Here is a 22659-nt window from a genome sequence, read left to right as displayed (position 1 = left end):
ATGTCTCAGTTTTTTCCTTAGTACAAATGAAGCTATAATATCTCCTTAGAGTTGTTGTGATGATTAAAGAAGTGGATGGAGGTGAGTTGCTGGTACATGATGAAGAGTAATAAATGTTTTTTTCCCATTCACCTCTTCCGAATACTTATATTGCTTTTCCATGCACCAAAGGGAAGTCTGTAGCTGTACAGTATTAGTTACATTTTTAGACAATTCTAAATAGTAAAAGCTTCATTAATTTGCATTCCATTCAGCTTTGGTAGAAATTCAGCCAGGAATGCCTTCTTGTTGTGTTCATAAAGAAAGGGTTTGCTAAGCTAAGGTGTGTTAGTCAGAAAAGGCTAGGCTTGTGCTGCAGTAACAACCAGCCCCAAATCACAGAAAAGGTTACTTCTCTTGGGCATGAAGTCCACGGCAGGCCAGTGCTTTCCAAGGTGGCTGCTTCCATCTGGTGGCTCAGCGGCCCTACCTGTTTCCACCCAGCGCTTCTACCAGCTCAGTCATGGCCCGCACTCCCCCACCTAAGGGGAAGAGAGAAACCGGAAATTTGCACATGGCCCTGCCTATGTGCAAAGGGGCTGAGACGTGTATTTTCCATCTTCCCAGGAAGAAGTAATGGGACGCAGGGTTAGGTGAACGCATAGCATTGCCCCTGCTATATAAGGGTAATCATGAGTTTAGGGAGAACACATAATTTCAAATCACATCCAAGTGGTCTAAAAATGTGCTACTTGTGTACATGGGAACTTTAAGATACTGAAAACAACCATCAGCAGGTGAATGACTTGATAAACAGATTGTGGTATGTCCATACAATGGAATATTGCTTGGTAATAAGAAGGAATGAACTGCTGATACATGCAACAGCAAGGGCAAATCTCAAGGTAATTATGCTGAGTAAAAGAAGCCAAATGAAAAGGAGTCATACTGCATGATTCCATTTGTGTAAAATACTAGAAAATGCAAACGAATCCATAGTGACAAAAGTAGATCAATGCTTTCCTAGAAACAGGGATGGAAGAAGGGATGGATTACAAAAGGGCACCAGGAAACTTTTGGGGGTAATGAAAATGCTATCCTGCCAACCGTGGTGGCTCACACTTGTAATCCCAGCACTTTGGGAAGCCGAGGCGGGTGGATCACCTGAGGTCAGGAGTTCGAGACCAGCCTGACCAACATGGTGAAACCCCATCTCTACTAAATACAAAAAATTAGCTGGGTGTGGTGGCAGGCACCTGTAATTCCAGCTACTTGGGAGGCTGAGGCAGGAGAATTGCTTGAACCTGGGAGGTGGAATTTGCAGTGAGCCAAGATTGCGCCATTGCACTCCAGCCTGGGCAACAAGAGCAAAACTCCATCTCAAAAAAAAGAAAATGCTATCTTGATGTGGGAGTGATTTCATAGGGGTATGCACACACCGAAACTGACCAACTTTTACATGGAAATATGTGCAGCTTATCTACTTCAATAATAGCTCAATAAAGTTGAAAAAAATAAGATAGTGATTTGAAATATTATTCATTATTTGCCCCTGGAGAGTGTACTGGTCTCTTTTGGTATTTATTTGTATTTATTTTTCTTTCACTTTCTTTCTTCCCCCTCCCCAACCAACCCCCCGTGTTGTCCAAGGTGATCTTGAACTCCTAACCTCAAGCAATTCTCTTGCCTCAGCCTCCCAAAGTTCTAGGATTACAAGTGTAAGCCATCATGCCTGGCCTTATCTGTATTTAAAAGTAATAAAATAGAATTTCATTCATAAATTGAGTCTGTTGCCATCTCCATGCTCTCTCCTGTTTATTCCCGATTCATGGCAAAAAGACTGTTGCCCAGGGCTTTGCAATGAAGAGAAAAATCAGCTTCAAATCCAAGCTCACAACTTACTAGCTCTTTGGCCTTGGGCAATTTATTGAACTTTTCTGAGAACTGTCTGCAAGTGTGTGTCAAGTCCCTTCAGGCAGCTTGCCACAGAGCAGGTGCTCAAACCGTTGTTATCTGCCCCAGGTGTCTTGCTACCTTCCTGCCACACCATTTGGAACTTCATATTAGGGTTGCTTCTCTGGTTTTGAAATTGGTCATCTTCTCTGGTTTCCAGGCCTTGTATTAAATGCAAACAAAATTTAAGGGCTTGCCAAAAACAAAAACAAACAAACAAACAAAACTCAGTAATTAAAAAATATAGCATCGTAATCCAATCAAAATTGATATTTAAAAAATTCCACAATGAACAAGATAACAGACATTTAATAAAGGTAGCCTTAGTCCTGTCCCAAATTCCTTTTCAAACCCTTCCCCCAATTCTGCCAATTCCTCTTGATTCCAATTCCTTCATGCCTTGCTCTCAAAGAATTACTTGAAAGTCATAAGATATAACTCACGTAGTCCAGGCACATGTTGCCACGTGGCTATTTTTTATTTTTGTAGACATGAGGTCTTCCTATGTTGCCCAGGCTGGTCTTGAACTCCTGGCCTCCAGCGATCATCATGCTTCGGCCTCCCAAAGTGCTAAGATTACAGACATGAGCCACCATGCTGGGCCTATTCTTTCTTAAATGTACCTTAGCTCACATTTAGTTTAAGGTTTAAAATTAGAAGTGTTTTGATCTTTATTTAGAAGTTTAATGTTTTTGTGATCAGAAACGTGCCAAGGGAACTTAACTCTTGTTTGTATCAGTTAGCCTTCAGTAAAATTGATCTGTCCTATGTCGTTCCGCTTAAAGTTGCAGTTTCCAAAGACCTATTGACAGTGTCAACTGAGGACTTACCCTCCAATGAAGACAAGAGGGAGGTCAGCTTTCTCAGGAAGCAGCCCTGGTGGCTCATTTGGCTTTTTCCACTTACCTTTCTGCTTCTCCCCTCCTTTAAAGACAGCATTTGTAACCTCCTTTGCATAACTGAATCTTCTAGAGTTTACAGACCCATAAAAGAAAGCAGACAACAGGGAACCGTGTGAAATGAAGCTGCTTAGGAAAGTCACTGTGAGCTTTGGAGGTGGAGGACTTGGTGGATTAGAAACTGAAACTGAACGTTTGAAATTATAAATAACACTCAGGTGCTTGCTTTTTATTTTAAGAAACTTGAACATTTTCATTGCTGGGGGAAAAGGTCAGTGAGGTTTTCCTTGGCCCTCTTCTTTCTACACATCTTGAAAAGTAATCTCTGAAGTAGGACTTCTAGTTAAATCCCTATAGATTTATTTTTCCCCATCAAGGGACGGTGTTCTAAAAACTTAGCAACAATAAGCAAAATTTCTTTGGGCAGAAGTAAAAATTCTAGACACACAAGCAGTATCATACAAACACAGATGGAGAAATTTAATAAATGAGAGTATCTTAAAGATTGGTTCCATTGTATTAGATAGAAATTTTAAGATACTTAAGTTTGGGTTTTAATTCCTAATCTCTGGACAAGTTGCAAATTTTAATTTTAATTTTAATTATTAGATTTTTTAAAATTATACTTTAAGTTCTAGGTTACATGTGCACAACGTGCGGGTTTGTTACATATGTATACATGTGCCATGTTGGTGTGCTGCACCCGTTAACTCACCATTTACATTAGGTGTATCTCCTAGTGCTATCCCTCCTCCCTCTCCCCACCCCACTACAGGCCCCAGTGTGTGATGTTCCCCACCCCGTGTCCAAGTGTTCTCATTGTTCAATTCCCACCTATGAGTGAGAACATGCGGTGTTTGGTTTTCTGTCCTTGCAATAGTTTGCTCAGAATGATGGTTTCCAGCTTCATCCATGTCCCTACAAAGGACATGAACTCATCATTTTTTATGGCTGCATAATATTCCATGGTGTATATGTGCCACATTTTCTTAATCCAGTCCATCCCTGATGGACATTTGGGTTGGTTCCAAGTCTTTGCTATTGTGAATAGTGCCGCAATAAACATACGTGTGCATGTGTCTTTATAGCAGCAGGATTTATAATCCTCTGGGTATATGCCCAGTAATGGGATTGCTGGGTCAAATGGTATTTCTAGTTCTAGATCCTTGAGGAATCGCCACACTGACTTCCACAATGGTTGAACTAGTTTACAGTCCCACCAACAGTGTAAAAGCATTCCTATTTCTTCACATCCTCTCCAGCATCTGTTGTTTCCTGACTTTTTAATGATCGCCATTCTAACTGGTGTGAGATGGTATCTCATTGTGGTTTTGATTTGCATTTCTCTGATGGCCAGTGACGATGAGCATTTTTTCATGTGTCTGTTGGCTGCATAAATGTCTTCTTTTGAGAAGTGTCTTTTCATATACTTCACCCACTTTTTGATGGGGTTGTTTGATTTTTTCTTGTAAATTTGTTTAAGTTCTTTGTAGATTCTGGATTGGATATTAGACCTTTTTCAGATGGGTAGATTGCAAAAATTTTCTCCCATTCTGTAGGTTGCCTGTTCACTCTGATGGTAGTTTCTTTTGCTGTGCAGAAGCTCTTTAGTTTAATTAGACCCCATTTGTCAATTTTGGCTTCTGTTGCCATTGCTTTTGGTGTTTTAGTCATGAAGTCCTTGCCCGTCCCTATGTCCTGAATGGTATTGCCTAGGTTTTCTTCTAGGGTTTTTATGGTTTTAGGTCTAACACTTAAGTCTTTAATCCATCTTGAATTAATTTTTGTATAAGATGTAAGTTTCAGCTTTCTCCATATGGCTAGCCAGTTTTCCCAGCACCATTTATTAAATAGGGAATCCTTTCCCTATTGCTTGTTTTTGTTAGGTTTGTCAAAGATCAGATGGTTGTAGATGTGTGGTATTATTTCTGGGGACTCTATTCTGTTCCATTGGTCTATATCTCTGTTTTGGTACCAGTACCATGCTGTTTTGGTTACTGTAGGCTTGTAGGATAGTTTGAAGTCAGGCAGTGTGATGCCTCCAGATTTGTTCTTTTGGCTTAGGATTGTCTGGGCAATGTGGGCTCTTTTTTGGTTCCATATGAACTTTAAAGTAGTTTTTTCCAGTTCTGTGAAGAAAGTCATTGGTAGCTTGATAGTGACGGTATTGAATCTTATATTACCTTGGGCAGTATGGCCATTTTCATGATATTGATTCTTCCTATCCATGAGTATGGAATGTTCTTCCATTTGTTTGTGTCCTCTTTTATTTTGTTGAGCAGTGGTTTGTAGTTCTCCTTGAAGAGGTTCTTCATATCCCTTGTAAGTTGGATTCCTAGGTATTTTATTCTCTTTGAAGCAACTGTGAATGGGAGTTCACTCATGATTTGGCTCTCTGTTTGTCTGTTATTGGTGTATAGGAAGGCTTGTGATTTTTGCACATTGATTTTGTATCCTGAGACTTTGCTGAAGTTGCTTATCAGCTTAAGGAGATTTTTTTTTTTTTTGTAGAGATGGGGTCTCGCTATGTTGCCCAGGCTAGTCTTGAAGTTCTGGGCTCAAGTGATCCTCCCAGCCTCCCACAGTCCTGGGATTACAGGTGTGAGCCAGTGCTCCAGCTAACATTTATTTTAAAAACAAAATCAGCATGTTTTTTCTCCAGGAGAGGGCCACATGCAGAAGCTGCCCTTCCCCTAAGCAGTGGTGCCCCTAGGGCTTGTCAATGCCGGTGGAGGGACAGCAGGCAAAATGGCCTAGCCCGACAGGGAGGGGTTGGGGAGGACAGACTCAGAACACTCTGGAGAAAACGGAAGCTTGCAGAGTGGTGATGTGGAGACGCCAGGCTTCTCTTACTGCCTGGTCCCCAGCCCACCCTACATCAACTCATAGGAAGCACAAGATGGTTTGTGAATCACTGAAGGGTCATGAGTAACTAGAGGGTATTGCTTCAAAGGAGAAAAGTATTTAAACAGGATGCTTCATATGACTGTTCCCAGAGTGCAAAGGAAAAAGGAAAAACATCAAACTCTTCAGCAAGGTTCCCACACGGGTAGGGGCTGGTTTATGGCTTTGTTTTGCTGTCTTGAGTTCACCCTTGTTTTCATCTCTTTATTTGTCCAGTGTGCAAAATCTTCACACTTCCACCTCCTTAGGAAGGGAGGCAAACCTCGCCCACCCCTTCAGCAGTTGGTCTTGCTTCAACCTGGCAGGCACAGAACAAGTAACCTTCAGCAATCCTTTCCCCGCAGTCTGAATTAGTTGGTGTGGAACACTCCAGGGAGGGCTTTGGCACCTCAGGTCACATGTGTGTTTTCTCTGTTAAGTAGGTCAGTCATGCCTCTTTATTCTTTCTGGATTTCATTGCATGGCTCAGCTGTGAGCAAGATCTACATCATCATATAAATCTAAATAATACATGTTGACTCAACCAAAAACTATGATGCAACTATATTGGGAAGATAGAAGAGGAAGTTTGCATGTGAGTGGTGGGGGTTGGGGGTCAGGAGCAGCACCAGGGAAAGGAAGGAGAGGTGAAGCCATGCTCAATCCTCATTTTCTGTGATAGGAAGAAATTGGATTATACCTAAAACTGAAAAATCAAGAAATAACAGTATCAACACATTATTGAGAAATTTAAGTATAAACACCAGAAGAAATGGCCAGAAGACTTGCAAGGGGTTGCCTCTGGAGAGGAAGATGTAAAGACAGGGAGACCATAGGTAGAGACTGCTGTTTTTCATTATTAGCTTTGTAGTGGTATTTAACTCTTAGAGCTAAACAAATGTGTGATTTTGAAATAAAATAAAATAAAATAAGGCAAAAAACAAAGTCATCCCCCGCCTGAAGGTCATCTTTCAGCTACATAAAACCTTGAAGTTACCCCTTGTCTCTCTCCTGGGTTACATCAAATTCACAGACAGGATGTGTATCCCATTTCTACCTAGAGTGAGTTAAGGGGTAAAGGGGTAAGTAGGCTTGGTCACCCTATTGGGGGGTATCTATTACTGATGGCTCATCAGATCACCTTGGGAAGAGAACACAGTCACAAAGATAATTTGTCGCCATTTGTCTTTTAATGAGCTGGTATCCATTCTGCTCTGAAGAACAGTGACTTGGTTTATAACAATACATAAGCACGAAGTCAGTGCAATATGAGGAGCTTCCTAGCAAGGAGAGTAGAAAAGAGTGACTCCTCTCCAGAGCGTTTTCTAGGGAAAGCTAAATGGCTGCCTAGCAGGGGGTGCTCTGGGAGGGACTCCTGCCTGCCACGGGGGAGGGACTAAACCAGCTGTCCTCCAAATTCTGTCCAATTCTGAGACTTTAAGTTGTTCCAGAAAAAGTTCTTAGACTTTTGCTCATTACACTGCTGCATTTGCAGTCCTTTAACCCACAGGATTGAGGGTGAAAAGATTGGGAATGCAGCAGTATAATGAACAAAAGTAATGAAAACTCACAGATAACTCTGTGCCCCTTCTTAACTGCACTCTTCCTGCACGGTGTGGGACATTTGTCAATTCTGATAAGAGGAAATTGGAAGCTACGACCTGGTATATATTTGTTTTATATGCTGTCATCATTACTGCCTACTTTTAAAAATGGAGAAAAAGAACTGATGTCATCCTGAAAACCAGTATTAAATCTGTCTTCTTTGGCACCACTGTGATTTGTGAAGTCTTTTGATATTCTGGAGATCCCTGTTACACAGGAAATGGCCCAGCTCTGAACTCAGAGAAAGTGTGAAAAGTCCAATACCAGTTTCTTAGTAAGTTAAGCATGTCTGAGCTGTTCTTATAATCTTGAAATACACGAATCACCTCTCCCAGTGAACAGCAGATTAATTGCAGGGTGTGGAGCCAACAGTCAGACCTTGGTCCCGAGCCCAGCTCTGCCACACAAGCTGTGCGACCTTGGGCAAGTTACTCCATCTCTCTGGATATCAGCTTCCTCAACTGAAAACGGGCATAACACCTGGAGCAGTTAGATGCTTTCAGTGTAAGAGAAAATCCAACCACATTAACTTTCACATAAGGAAACAGATGGGCTCACATATCTGGGCGTCTACAGATTGTGAGGTCATCAGGATGGTTGGTCCAGCTTCTCAGTGATGTCCTCAAGGACCCAGGCTCTTTCTGACTCCAAGGCTGCCATCCAGTGTTGGATCTGTTCTAAACAGGGCTGCTCTCAGGGTCACAGGATACAGCCACAGCAATTAGGGCTCCTGGTTTTCCCGTTCACATTTAGCTGAAGACACAAACTGCTCTTCCTGTGGCTTTTTCTCTAGCCCAAGCAAACAGGTTCCCAGAAGCCCAGCAACCTTCCCCTGAATCTCATTGCGCCAGATTGGTTACAAGCTCATTTCTGCACCAATGACTACCAAGGTAATGAGATTACTCTGACTGGCTTAGATTAATCAGGCCCACCCTGTGGGCCTGGTGTCCACATCCCAAATCCCATGGCTGCCACAACAGAGGAGAGTAGAGCAGACAGAGGGAGACCCACCCCAATGCCTGTGAGAACATCCACCACACACGCAAGGCCATTGGGAAGCTTAAACAAGAGGACACAAGTAAAAGCACCTGATAGGGCAGGCAAACAACAAGCCATTTCCTCTCCAAATACATAGTCAGCTCTCCAAAGAAAATACAAATACTTTTCTGAGAAATGAACTGTCTAATTTGTATGCTATGTTGCACCAGGCTGAGCTATTAGAAAGCATCCTGAGAGACTTCGATGGAGTACACCGAGACTTGATCACCCAGAAGCACCAGGAAGCTTCTGTTGGAGGCACAGCGGGGCCAGGTTTAATTAACTACCCAACATAGCATCCGCGGGGGCTTGAAATGCCAATATCAGGGTCTTCCTCTGGGGCCTATGTTGGGCCTCTGTGGCAGGCACATGATCATGGTGGCTGACCCAATATTCTTCCCCAACTTTTTCTCTCTAAGCTCCCTTCCAGGGATGCCACATGCTCCAGCTGTGTGGTCAATGAGACCCAAGAGAAGGCTGCTGTGAGGCTCACAGAGTGTTTTGGTTTTCTTGCTAGAGGTGCTGCCACTCCACCTTTCTCCTTGCTGACTGCAGATGTGATGATTGCAGTGGCTGCAGTGATTGCGAGGCCACAATGGCATGCCCAAAATAAAGCAGGAACACTGGCCTGAAGCCAGCAGATGCCTACCTAATTCAAACTATTATTATGGGAGAAACCAAACCCTTACCTGATCAAGCCATTGTGATGGCCAGGACAATGCACCACTCAGGTCTCCTGCTGCAGGGAGCATAATAGTTGGCCTTGTTTCCACTCCTCTGGGTTCACCACCACATTGATGCTGAGGCCACGCTTTCCACAGGCTGCTCCTGAATCAGTGACGAAGCACAGCCAATGCAGGTTTCTTATTCCTGTGAGACACAGGGATACACCAATGGGCAACACTGCGTCAAGGATTCCCATCAGCCTTGGCCACAACTTTCTTGGACCCGCACTGCAATCTAAGACATTCTACTCCATCTGCCTTCCTCCCCTCTTTTCTTCATACACGTCAGACCAGCACCACGGCCTGAAGGTTCTCTCTGCCTTCTCTGGCCTTTTCCTTTTTATGCTTCTCCAGCACTGCTCCAATAAATTGCTTGCACATCTAATCCTGTCTTGGCATTTTCCTCTCATAGGACCCAAATGAATGCAGCCATTATGGCTTTTTTTTTTTTTTTTTTTTTTGGTTACTTGCGATCACAAGTTTTCCTAACTGAGATGGCTCCAGAAGGCCCCCTATTTTAAGAATAGAAATATTTGTGAGAAAGTAAATCATTAGTTGAGATTTTAAAGTGTCAAAAAAAATTCACACTCTTTCCTTTCAGATTCTGAACTAAATATGAAACAGATCTACAAGTCAGTTTAGGGATCAAAACATCAAATTTATTACTGCAAACCTGGATCTGAAGCCAAAGTGTCTGTCCCATGACTTTCCACTGAATTGATTTTTCCCACCTAAGCTCACTTAGAGCAGCTGGAGACTGCAGGCTCCTACACACTGTCCCCGATCCTGCTCCCTGTCAGGGAGGAGAGCCTTGCAGAAAGTCACCTCCAAGAGAAACAGCCCAAGGAGAGACAGAACAATGCCCAGGGGAGTGGGAATCTTTTAAAGAGCTAACCCCACCCCGTAGAGAAATGTGGGCCAATGGGGCACCTTTTGCCACTGCCCTAATCAACTGAATCACTCTTTTTCCCCCAGGGTGGATCCACTGGGAGGTGCATAGAAAGTAGAAACTTCTCCAGGGCCTTAGACAAGTAGAAATTCCCGTTTCAGGAGCAAGCAAGATTGAGGAGGGGACAGAGAGAGGGAGAGGATGCATCCTCCTTCATAATTATATTTGTGCATTAAATAGTTGTTGGATAAAATGTGGGAGAGAAAATGCTGATGGCTCACCCTGCCCTAAAGCAGCCAACAGTGGTGCAGATAAGACGTGCTCAGAAATGACTTTGATACCAGACACAGTCATAACTTTATAGCTGTGATGCAGACAAAATGCCACTGGCTTTTATTTTGTGTACAGAGATCGCCACTGGCTCCACTCGGTCTTTCCTGTCCTCATTTTCCTGTTGTCCTGGTTTATCGTCCTGTTAATTTAAAATTTTATCTTATCTTTATGTGTTTCTGTGAATCATTATAAATCCTTCCTGGAACAAAGTGTAGGATTGTATAACTACATATATAAGCAATTCACGAAATACATGCATGACTTTAGGTCTTTAGGGTCAGGCTGCTTCAGTATTTCCCACTATGTGATCTTGGGCAAGTCTGAGCCTGCGTTTTCTCATCTGTAAAGTGTGCATAGTACAAAGATTTACCCCAATGTACAGAAGTGGGTCTTCAGTGAGTTAGCCCATGCAATGCCTTGCTTTGCACAGTGCCTAGCACACAGTGAAGCCTCTACAAATGCTGGTTTGGGTTCCTATTATCGCAGGCACACTCTGGTGTCTATCCCCACCCCCACGGATTCCTGCCTGCAGGGGAGTGAGGGAGAACTTCCAGGAGACGGCACATGGACAACAATTTTTGTCACATCATTGATGGATGTTGGTCCAGACAGGCCAGAGGAGAAAAGCCAGTCTTGAGCGAGTGATTGCAGGAAAAGTGGATCAAGGTTATTTTCCAGGAAGGGCAGGAGAGTGTGTATTTCCCTGGGGACAGTTGGAGGGTGGCGGTAGGGAGGGTATCTGTGGAGGTTGCACGGCTGAGAGAAGGGGTCACTAAAAGAGAAGGATTTGGGGGTGAGGCGGGGTGGAGGAGAGGGGAACAAAGACCCTAGAGTGTTCCATGCAGCCTAGTTGAGAGGTCTTGCCATGGTGCCCTGATGAGGTTCAGGTGAGAACAGTCTTCCAGAATCAGCCGCCCCAAGTGGAGCTCAAATACCCAGTGCCAGGAAAGAGACTGCAGCCTCTCTGAGCAACTAATTTAACCTGAGAACACGGAGAGAATCCTCTTTAAAATATGCAAAATATCTTGGAATAAAGAAAGGCAAACAGATCAGAGCAGTAGTTCTGTTGCTAATTCTGTCTGAAATATTATGTACAAAGAACATTAACAACTGAGAGTGTTTGTGAGTTTCTCAAAAGCCTAGAAACTCAGTCAAGGCTCCCCAGCAAGAGTAGCCAGTCCCCTCTTGTTTGATGTGCAAATTATAATAAGATTTTTCATTACACTGAAGTAGGCGCACAGGCCGCCAATGCATATCGAAGAGTGTCAATTGAGAAGCAATTGGAACACAGGCGTACACTTACAGCTCTTTCCAATGCCTTCCGGAAATAGAAACACCTATAAAAACTCAGTTTAAGATCACAAAAACCCTTTAAAGGCCCTACCTGGGATATTGGAGGCTTCTACCTCTTCTGGATATGGCTAATTACATAACTTCCTCCACTGTAAATCACAATGAACCAAGTAGAGCTGGTGAATCACACTCTTTTCATTGTAATGACAAGACATAAATTACCATAAAGACCTTCAATCCCCAAAGTGATGCAATTTGATAGAATGTACTTGTCTCCTTCCCACTTGTTATTCACTAAACTCCTGTCTGGGAAACACTCATTTGACGATGGATATTCAAATGCAAAACAAAAAACAAAAAACAAAAAAACACCAGCCCCAGCCCTGTACCCACAGAGGCAGGCGAGGCCAGGGTAGCGAGGTCTTCTAATTGTTCAAGAGAAGCTGGAAATCCTAATGTTTTTAAAAGAATAAAAACTTCTGATGCTTAAATAGTGGAGATGAATTACAATTTCTTTAAAAACACAGTGGGGTCAACAAGACATGCCTGGGGCTGAGTCTGTGGCTTGTGATCTCTGGAGGATTCTCTTGCTGTCCTGGCTTCAGAACCCTGGGGACATGTCACTATGTCCAAACCCACTACCAGGCACCTTGGATTTGCAGAGGCTTGGACCATCCTCCTGTTGTTTCAGGCCTTCCCACTTCCACATGGGCTTTGGTTCTACCGGACCCTTCAGGCTGAGGCCTTTCTCCTTTGTATCCATCGGCTTGGGCTGCCATAGTGAAATACTACGGACTGGGTGGCTTCAACAACAGAAGTTTATTTTTCACGGTTCTGGAGGCTGGAAGCCCAAGATGAAGGTGCCAGCAGGTTGGGTTTCCGCTGAGGCCCCTGTCCTTGGCCTGCAGATGGCAACCCTCTTGCTGTATCTTCCCATGCTTGTCTTACTCCCCCAACATCTCTGTGTGTCTTAATCACCTCTTCTTAGAAGGACACTAGTCATATTGGACCAGGGCCCACACTAACAGCATCATTTTAAATTAATTACCTCTTTGAAGACCCTACCTCCAAATACAGTCACATTCTGAGGTATTGTGGATTAAGACTTCAACATATGAATTTTCGGAGGAAGAGGATTCAGTCCCTAATACCTTCTACAAGCTCCATCAGCCCTACCCAACTCCCCATTCCTCCCCAGAGGTGAGAGAAGAGGGAATACGGACAAGCCTTACCTGTAGAATTTCCAAAGAAGAATGCTTCCAGAAGAACTACTACCAGATCATTTCCTCACTGAACCTGGACCACTGGACTGATCTCTCTACAACAGGCTCGGACTCTCAAACAGCCTCTTTCACCTCACCTGCCTGCTCTGCAGGTCTGAAGTGACCACATAGAAGTTACAAGTCTCCTCTTCTATAATCCCCTATGTGGTAGGTTGCTGCCAAAGATGAAGAGAGTCATGATCGCACCACTGCACTCCAGCCTGGTGGACAAAGGGAGGCTCTGTCTCAAAGAAAAAAAAAAAAGATGGCTACACCAATCCGTCCATTTTTGAATGAGTACATCATTTTTCCCATCTAGAGGTGGGGCCTATTTACCCTCACCTCCTCTCGAATCTGAGTTGACTTTTGAGGCCTGCTTTTTTTTTTTTTTTTGAGTTTTTAGAGACAGGGTCTCACTACACTGCCCAAGTTGGGTTTGAACTCCCGATCTTCCTGCCTCAACCTCCTGAGTAACTGGGACCTCAGGTGCACACCATTGTCCCCAGCTTTTTGTGTCTTGCTTTGACCAATAGAATGTAGTGGAAGTGATGCTGTGCCAGGTTAGCCCCTAGGAGGCCGGGCAGCTTCCACTTCTGCCCTGTTGAAACGCTGAGACCACCATGCTGTGGAGAAGCCCAAGTTGCCTTGTGGCGAGGCCCTGTGGAGGATAACAAAGATGTCCCAGCCAACAGCTCAGCCCAGCCAGCAGCTGCTTAGAGTCAAAAGAGTGACCCAGTTGGGACCACAGAATAATGAGAACTAATCATCATTGCTTAAGCCACTAAGTTTTGGGGGTGATTTGTTATGTAGCAGTAGATCACTGAAACACGTCTTCCCAGTTCAACTCTCCCCTGAGCTTCCTATGTGTTATCCAAGGTTTCAATCACTGTGCTCATCTCAGTGTGAGGGAATGAAATGCTTGCCTTCGTGGAAAAGAGACACGAATGGCACTGTAGAACAAAGCTGTGTGGGAGATCTCTTATAGTTCACTTCTTCTCTTGTCCTACTGGCTTCATTCTTAACTTACATGTTATTATGTGAAATTTCTATAGCAAAGAGTTATTCTTCATACAGGAGGTGCGAGCTATATAGACAAAGACTGGAGACAACCCTTATTTATTTATTTATTGAGATGGAGTCTTGCTCTGCCGCTCAGGTTGGAGTGCAATGGCATTTTCTTGACTCACTGCAACCTCCACCTCTTGAGTTCAAGAGATTCTCCTGCCTCAGCCTCCTGAGTAACTGGGATTACAGGCGCACGCCACCACACCCAGCTAATTTTTGTATTTCTGGTAGAGTCGGTGTTTCACCATGTTGGCCAGGATAGTCTTGACCTGCTGACCTCATGATCCATCTGCCTTGGCCTCCCAAAGTGCTGGGATTACAGGCATGAGCCACCATGCCCCGCCAAGACAACCTTTATTATATGGGAAATTTTTGTCGTAACTATACTCCCGGTGTGCTATGTCGTAGTATATTTATGAGGATATGAAAACCATGGTTACATAGAGATGCTCTGGAGAAACGGTGTCACTAGAAACAGGTACCATACTCCATTCCTGCACTTTAAAGTTTCACATTCGTTATGCAGTCAGCTGGGCTTTGCTGCATCGTACTGCAGTTGGAAGGTTTTTTTGTTTTGTTTTGTTTTTTCAAGTGAAAACCAAGGCACAGAGAAACTGAATGACTTATGTGGAGGCAAAGCATTGGTAGACATCAAGAGAGGCTGTTATATTCTTGACGTCAATGCTGACACAAGTCTCGTGGTGGAGTAGACACTACGTACAATAGGAAGGAGTGGGAAGGGCCAGGAGGCAGCATGGAAAAGCCCTGAGGATGAGGCCTTGTTTTGTTCATCTTGTAGCTCCTGGAACACCTTGGTAATCTGTGTGTGTTAGAGCCCATTGACTTTCACTCTGTGTCTAGAGCACAGATTTGCCTGGAGAAACCTGGGTTCAAGCCCTGGATCTCCTGCTCCCTGGCTGTCTGATACTGGCCAAATCAGTAAATATGCAGATGGTCTGGTTTCCTCACCTCCAAAATGAAGGTGTGAATACTCTACCACTCCTAATGCTTAATAGCATTCTGCAAAACATTTAGAAGTAATAGTGTTCTAGAATACCACAGGATGCTAAGGGTGTAGCTTCTGGGAAAACTGAGGCACAAGAAGATTAAATGATTTTTCCCCAAGGTTTAGAGACAATAACTGAAAGAGGTAAAACTAAAACCCAAGTCTCCCAACTTCCACTATTAGTACTAATACTATTACTACTTTCTACTTCAAAGGATTGTGGTAAGACAAAATTTAGAGTGCTTGCTTCGGCAGCACATACACTAAAATTGGAATAAATGAAAGATTAGCATGGCCCCCATGCAAGGATAACATGCAAATTCATGAAGTGATTTAAATTTAAAACAATTTTTTAAATTAAAATATTGGCTGGGCTCGGTGGCTCATGCCTATAATCCCAGCACTTTGGGAGGCCGAGGCAGGCAGAACACTTGAGGTCAGGAGTTTGAGATCAGCCTGGCCAACATGGTGAAACCCCGTCTCTACTAAAAATACAAAAAATAGATGGGCATGGTGGCTCATGCCTGTAATCCCAGCACTTTGGGAGGCTGAGGCTGGCAGATCACTGGAGGTCAGGCCAGGATCGCACCATTGCACTCCAGCCTGGGAAACAAGAGTGAAACTCCATCTTAAAAAAAAATAAAAAGAAAAAAGAAAAAAGAAATATTTCTTAATATGTTTTTTTTTTAAAAAAAGAACTGACATGATAACTTTTTAAGTAGAGAATTATCTTTCTATTTTAAAATGTTACAACTGAGTTCTTTAGATTTCAAATTGTATTTGAACTGAACTTTCAAATTGTTGCTGTTGTGAAGGAATGTCTTGATTCAGCTCTTTGTCTAGGGCCCTCTGTCTCAGGAAAGAAAATGCATTCTTTGGAGAATATAAAGCCTGCTATGACCCTGCTGAGTTGTAAATAGTTTGTGCTATCCAGAAACAGTACTCGATTTGAAAATACCATTTTAAAGACATCATTTGTTGTTTGACTACCACTTCCTATTTCCTACAAAAATTGGAAAACTAGAATAGCAAGTCCTGTCCTCTTGGGACTTATTTCCTCATTTGTTTGATGTCTCCTTCCAACTTGAAAATACTGTGTGTCACTTATTTGTGATATGAAATGAAAGTGAGCTGCCAGCATTCTGTTTTGATAACTTTTGAGGGTGGAGTGGAGAAAATATGACATCATTTAAAATTTTAAGAAGCAACCAGAGTTTGCATTAAGCAACTGCTATTTGCAGGCAACATCCACAAGTCATTACTTCCCATCCTTTGGCCCTTAATGACTTTCTTAGCTTTCATTCCTCCCAAATGGAGCAGTCAAAAGACCATCAATCCAATCAAATATGGAGGTTAAAGAAACCATCTGTGTAGGACAGGACATTCAGAATGGTGAAGCAAGCTCAGCAGACCCTCTCTCCAGCAAAACAACTCAAGTGGTGAAAATAATAAAAAGGCAATAATTTAAAGCCCCTGGAAATTGTTCAAAGGATGTACAGGAAACAAAGAAAAAGTCCCTCAAAAAAATATATTAAACCTTCGTAGGAAGGGTCTGTGGCAGTTGAGCCACCTCCTGCTTCCTTACCCTCTGCACCCATAGCTCAGTGTTAATGGAAGTGCTACCCATTCTGCACCCTCCACTCTGGGCAGGTGTGGCCAAGATGATGGGGGCTCTCTTTTCATCCCCCCTTTCCACCTGCCAGTCTGAGGGTATGGTTTCACCCCTCCTGCCCCCAGCCCTGTGTTGCAGAAGCTCTATTCTAGGCAGTACCAACTCCCCTTCTCTATCTTGCCTCCCTTGATTGTAGGGTAGAAGTTCTACTCCAGGTGAAGCAGGCTGAGAATACTGGGGCCTCTGTCACCCCCACCCAGCTCACTCACTAGTAGTAGGGAGGTTCCATGCTGCAACGGACAAGCCAAGAAGAACAGGCTTATCCACAGCTGCCACAGCTGCCACCCCAGTACCTACTTGCAAATCTGGGCATTCATCACTCTGGGAAAAGTGGGTCCCTGACCCCAGCTCCTTGCAGTCTTGCACAGGTTCTGTCCCAGGGGAAAGGCAAATCAAGATGACAAAGAGGCCAGGCATGATGGCTGGCGCCCGTAATCCCAGCACTTTGGGAGGCTGAGGCAGGACGATCACTTGAAGCAAGGAGTTGGAGACCAGCCTGGGCAACAAAGCAAGACCCCATCTCTAAAAATAAAAATTTAAAAATTAGCTGAGCGTGGTGGTGCACATCTGTAGTCCCAGGTACTAGGGAGGCTAAGGTGGGAGGATCACTTGAGCCTTGAGGTTGAGGCTGTAGTGAGCTATGCACTCAGCCTGGGTGACAGAATGAGACCCTGTCTCAAAAAATAAACAAATAAAAATAAAGTAAATAATAATATTGCAGTCTTCCCTGGCAGTCTGGAAGACTGTATGCATGTCCAAGGCTGTACCTTTCCAGGGTGTGATCAGAGGAGTGACCACAGAGCTCTAAGATAATAGAACATGAGAGAAAAAGGTAACCCCTTCCCCCACAACTGGGCTAGCAACCTTCAAGCAACACACATTTCCAACAATAAACATCTAACTGCTAAGCAGGCTTAAGTACAACATATGAACAATAAGAAGGTGACCTGCCAGAAGTGATTCCTAGCCTAAGTGGCCAGGCTAAAAGAGAATAACAAGGTCAGAGAAATCTGAGGTTGAATGTCAGAGGCTGCACACTGCAAGGGACACAAACTTTGCAGGATTACTTTAGTCAAGTCGCTAAGCAAATAAATAAACCCCAGCAAACAATAACCATCACCACCCCTAGCAGTGGCGTCAGTATCCACAGTTGCTACAAAATATTACCTAAAATATTTAGTTTTCAACAAAAAATTGCCAGGCATGCAAAAACAAAACCAAACAAAAAAATAAGAAAGTGTGACCCATACACAAGAAAAAAAAAGCCAGCAATAGAAACTGCCTTTGAAGGGGTCCAGATAGTGGACCTAGTAGACAAGGCTTCAAAACAGCTATTCTAATCGATACCTTCCTGGCTAACATGGTGAAACCCCGTCTCTACTAAAAATCAAAAAATTAGCCAGGTGTGGTGGCGGGCACCTGTAGTCCCAACTACTTGGGAGGCTGAGGCAGGAGAATGGCGTGAACCCGGGAGGCGGAGGTTGCAGTGAGCCGACATTGCGCCACTGCACTCCAGCCTGGGTGACAGAGCAAGACTCTGTCAAATAAATAAATAAATAAATTAATAAAATAAAATATAAAAATAAAACAGCTATTCTAAGCATGCTCAAAGAACTAAAGAAAACCCTTCTCAGAAAATTAAAGGAAGATATGATAGCAATGTCTTATCAGAAGAAAATAGCTAGAAATGTTCACAAGTGCCTGTTAAAAAACAAAAGAAAGAAAAGGCCAGGCACAGTGGCTCATGCCTGTAATCCCAGCACTTTGGAAGGCCAAGGCAGGCGGATCACTTGAGGTCAGGAATTCAAGACCAGCCTGGCCAACATGGTGAAACACTGTCTCTACTAAAAATACAAAAATTAGCCAGGCGTGGTAGTGGGCACCTGTAATCCTAGCTACTTGGTAGGCTGAGGCAGAAGAATCACTTGAACCTGGGAGGCAGAGGTTGCAGTGAGCCGAGATCACGTCACCGCAGTCCAGCCTGGGCAACAGAGTGAGATCCTGTCTCAAAAAAACAAAACAAAACAAAACAAACAACAACAAAGAAAATATCAATAAAGAGAAACTATTAAAAAGAACCACATAGAAATTCTGAACATAGAAAGTACAAACAGAAATGAAAAATTTATAAAGGGGTTCAACAGTAAATTTGAGCTGGCAGAGAAATCCAAAGGAAGTCAGAAAGTACTTAGAGCTAAATGAAAATAAAGACACGGCATACCAACACTTATGGGATACAGCTAAAGTAGTGCTGAGAGGGAATTTTATAGCTATAAATGCCTATGTTAACGAAGAGGAATGATCTCCAATCAGTAACCTAAACTTCTCCCCTAGGACTCTGGCAAAAGAAGAGCAAACTAAACTGAAGCAAGTAGAAGGAAGAAAAGAATAAAAATTAGAGTAGAAATTAATAAAATAAAATAAAAAGTAGGAAAACAATAGAGACAATCAGTAAAACCAAAGTTGATTATTGAAAAGATGGACAAAAATGACAAAGCTTTAGCTAGATAGACCAAGAGAAAAAGAGAGAAGGCTCAAATTGCTAGAATCAGAAATGAAAGAGGAGACACTACTACTGACTTTACGGAAATACATGGGATTATAAGGGCATACCACAGGCTGCATGCCAAAAAAAGCAGATAATTTAGATGAGATGGAAAATTCACAGAAAGACATGTACTACTGAAACTGATTAGAGAAGTAGAAAATCTGAATCGACCTATATCCGGTAAAGAGATCAAATTAGTAATTTTCAAACTTCCTGTGAAAGAAAACTCAAGTCCAAGTGGCTTCACTGATACACTTCCCAACTCATACTTTGAGGCTAGTATTTACCCTGATACCAAAATCAAAGACATTACAAGAAAAGAAAAAAGGACCAACATCCCTTATGAATACAAAAATTCTCAAAAATGCAAACATAAAATACTGGCAAACAGAATACAGCAACATATAAGGAGGTTTATATACCATGAGCAAGTGGGATTTATAACAGGAATACAAGGTGAGTTTACAGTCAGAAATCAATTAATGTAATACACACTATTAATAGAATAAAGCATGCATAGTAGAAAGGAAGAATTAAAACAACCTCTTTTTACAGATGACATGATCTTGTATATAAAAAATCCCAAGGAATCTACTAAAAAACTAATAGAACTAGTAAACAAGCTCATCAAGGTAACAGGATATAAGATTAATATTCAAAAGTCAATTTTATTTCTACTCACTAAAAAGAAATATTGCAAAAAGGAAATTAAAATAATTCAATTGATAGTAGCATCAAAAAGAATAAAATAGGCATAAATTTAATAAAAATACACAATTTATACACTTAAAACTATAAAATATTGCTGAAATAAATTTAAAAGTCCTCAATAAATGCATTAGAATGGTATAAATCATTGCTTGGAAGATTCAATATCACTAAAATGGCAGCATTCCCCAAATGGATTTATAGATTCAACGCAGTCTCTATCATAATCCCAGCTGGTCTGTGGTAGAAATTGATATACTTATCCTAAAATTCTCATGAAAATGCAAGGGACCCAGAATAGACAAAACAACCTTGGAAAAGAAGATCAAAGTTGGAGGACTCACATTTCCTGATTTCAAAACTTGCTACCAAAGTTACAGTGATCAGGGCAGTTGCTGTGGCTCATGCCTGTAACCCCAGCACTTTGGGAGGCCAAGGTGGGAGGACTGTTTGGGTCCAGGAGTTCGAGACCATACCAGGCAACATAGGGTGGCCCTCATCTCTACAAAAAAAAAAAAAACAAAACAACAACAACAACAAAAATTTAAAAATTAGCCAGGTGTGGTGGCACGCACCTGTGGTTCCAGGTACTCAGGAAGCTGAGGTGGGAGGATCGCATGAGCCAGGAAGACAGAGGCTGCAATGACCTGTGACCATGCCAACTGCACTCCAGCCTGGGTGACACAGCAAGACTTTGTCTCAAAAAAATAAATAAATAAAAAATAAATTTAAAAAAGTTATAGTAATCAATACAGTGTGGTACTGACATAGACATAGTCACATAGGTCAATGGAATAGAATTGAGAATCCAGAAACAAAGCTTTATATATATCATCAGTTGGTTTTCTACCAGGGTGCCACAACAATTCGGTGGAAAAAGAATAATCTTTTCAACAAATGGTGCTGGAACAACTGGATACCCTTATGCAAAAGAATGCATTTCATATCATATGCAAACATTTACTCCAAATGTATTGGAGAGCTAAATGCAAGAGTTAAAACTATAAAACTCACTGGGTGCGGTGGCTCATGCCTGTAATCCCAGCACTTTTGGAGGCGGAGGAGGGCGGATCATTTGAGGTCAGGAGTTCAAGACGAGGCTGACCAACATGGTGAAACCCCATCTCTACTAAAAACACAAAAATTAGCTGGGTGTGGTGTCAGGCACCTGTAATGCCAGCTACTAGGGAGGCTGAGGCAGGAGAATCATTTGAACCCTGGAGACAGAGATTGCAGTGACCTGGGATCATGCCACTGCACTCCAGCCTGGGTGACAGAGTGAGACTCTGTCTGAAAAAACAAACAAACGAACAAAAAAACAAAACTATAAAACTCTTAGAAGAGATTTAAATACCCGAATTATAAGAAACAAAAGAAAGCATAGATAAAATTGGACTACATCAAAATTAAACACTTTTATGCATGGAAGGACATTATCAAGAAAGTGAAATGCCAACCTACGGAACAAGAGAAAATATTAGCAAATCATATGTCTGATAAAGGATGTGCTTCCATATTATATAAAAAACTCTTGAGAATTAAAAAAACAACGCAATTAGCCAGGTGCGGTGGCTCATGCTGTAATCCCAGCACTGTGGGAGGCCGAGGTGGGTGGATCATGAGGTCAGGAGATCGAGACCATCCTGGCTAACACAGTGAAATCCAGTCTCTACAACAAAATACAAAAAAAATTAACTGGGCGTGGTGGTGGGCACCTGTAGTACCAGCTACTTGGGAGGCTGAAGCAGGAAAATCGCTTGAGTCCGGGAGGCGGAGGATGCAGTGAGCCGAGATCATGCCACTGCACTCCAGCCTGGGTGTCAGAGCGAGACCCCGTCTCAAAAACAAAAAACAAAAAAAACACCCAATTAAAAAATTGGGCAAAGTATTTGAGTAGACATCTTTCCAAATAAGATATATAGAATGCCAATTAGCCCACGAAAATATGCTAAATGTCATTAGTCATTAGGGAAATGCAAATCGAAAGTACAAGATACCACTTTATACCCACTAGGATGACTATAGTAAAAAATACAGACTCTAACAAGTATTGGTGAGTATATGGAGAAATTGGAACACTCATGCACTGCTAGTGGAATTGTAAAACGGTGTAGCCTTGTGAAAAGCAGTCTGGCAGTTCCCCAAAAAAGTTAAATATAGAATTACCATATGACCTAGCAATTCCACTCATAGGTATATACCCAAGTGAACTGAAAACATATGTCCACACACAAGCTTGAACATGAATGCCTGTAGCAGCATTATTCATAATAATTAAAAAGTGGAATCAATCTAGACATTTATCAACCGATGAATAAAGAAAATGTAGTATATCTGAATAATAGAATATTATTTGTCAATAAAAAGCAATGAAGTAGAAGTACTGATAGAGACTGTAACTTGGATGAGCCTCAAAAACATTATGCTAAGTAAGCCAGTCCCAAAATATCACATATTGTATAAGTCCTTTTATATGAAATGTCCATAAAAGACAAATCAACAGACACAAAGTAGATTAATGTCTGCTCAGGCCTGGGAGTTACTGTAGGCATGGGAATGATTGCTAATGGGTATAGGGTTGGTTTTTTGTTGATGTTGTTGCTCTTTTTTGAGAGACAAAAATGTTCTAAAAGTGGGTGGTCGTGGGGGTTGCACAACTCTGTGAATATATAAAAAATGTGAATTATATACATTAAATAAATAAATTGCCTACTCTGTTAATTATATCTCAATGAGGCTGTTTAAAAACATCAGTGTATGTTTTCCTTGATGAAAAAAGAAATTAATTGTCAATCTTCCAA

At 42.3% G+C, this 22659-nt stretch overlaps 1 long non-coding RNA gene and 1 pseudogene across 2 annotated transcripts, besides 1 other annotated feature; one reads left to right on the top strand and one right to left on the bottom strand.

Annotated features, from left to right (window-relative positions):
- LOC105376993 (uncharacterized) lies at positions 1778–9940 on the bottom strand. Of its 2 annotated transcripts, none has more exons than XR_940651.3 (3): positions 9756–9940; positions 9047–9227; positions 1778–2094 (listed from the first exon to the last, which is right to left on the bottom strand). It is a non-coding gene; the product is annotated as an uncharacterized LOC105376993 (long non-coding RNA). The 2 variants fall into 2 exon arrangements; XR_940652.4 differs by lacking the exon at positions 1778–2094 and adding an exon at positions 5417–7991.
- Positions 1834–2017: a silencer, noted in NCBI's record as "fragment chr3:23696236-23696419 (GRCh37/hg19 assembly coordinates)". NCBI's record gives its function as "represses an EF-1alpha promoter that drives an FKBP-Casp9 reporter gene in an ReSE screen in HepG2 liver carcinoma cells {active_cell/tissue: HepG2}" and the evidence as "EXISTENCE:reporter gene assay evidence [ECO:0000049][PMID:32094911]".
- RNU6-788P (RNA, U6 small nuclear 788, pseudogene) lies at positions 15170–15273 on the top strand (annotated as a pseudogene).

This window comes from Homo sapiens, chromosome 3 (assembly GCF_000001405.40).
Source record: "Homo sapiens chromosome 3, GRCh38.p14 Primary Assembly".
Taxonomy (NCBI): domain Eukaryota; kingdom Metazoa; phylum Chordata; class Mammalia; order Primates; family Hominidae; genus Homo; species Homo sapiens.
This window is presented reverse-complemented; position numbering and strand designations above follow the sequence as displayed.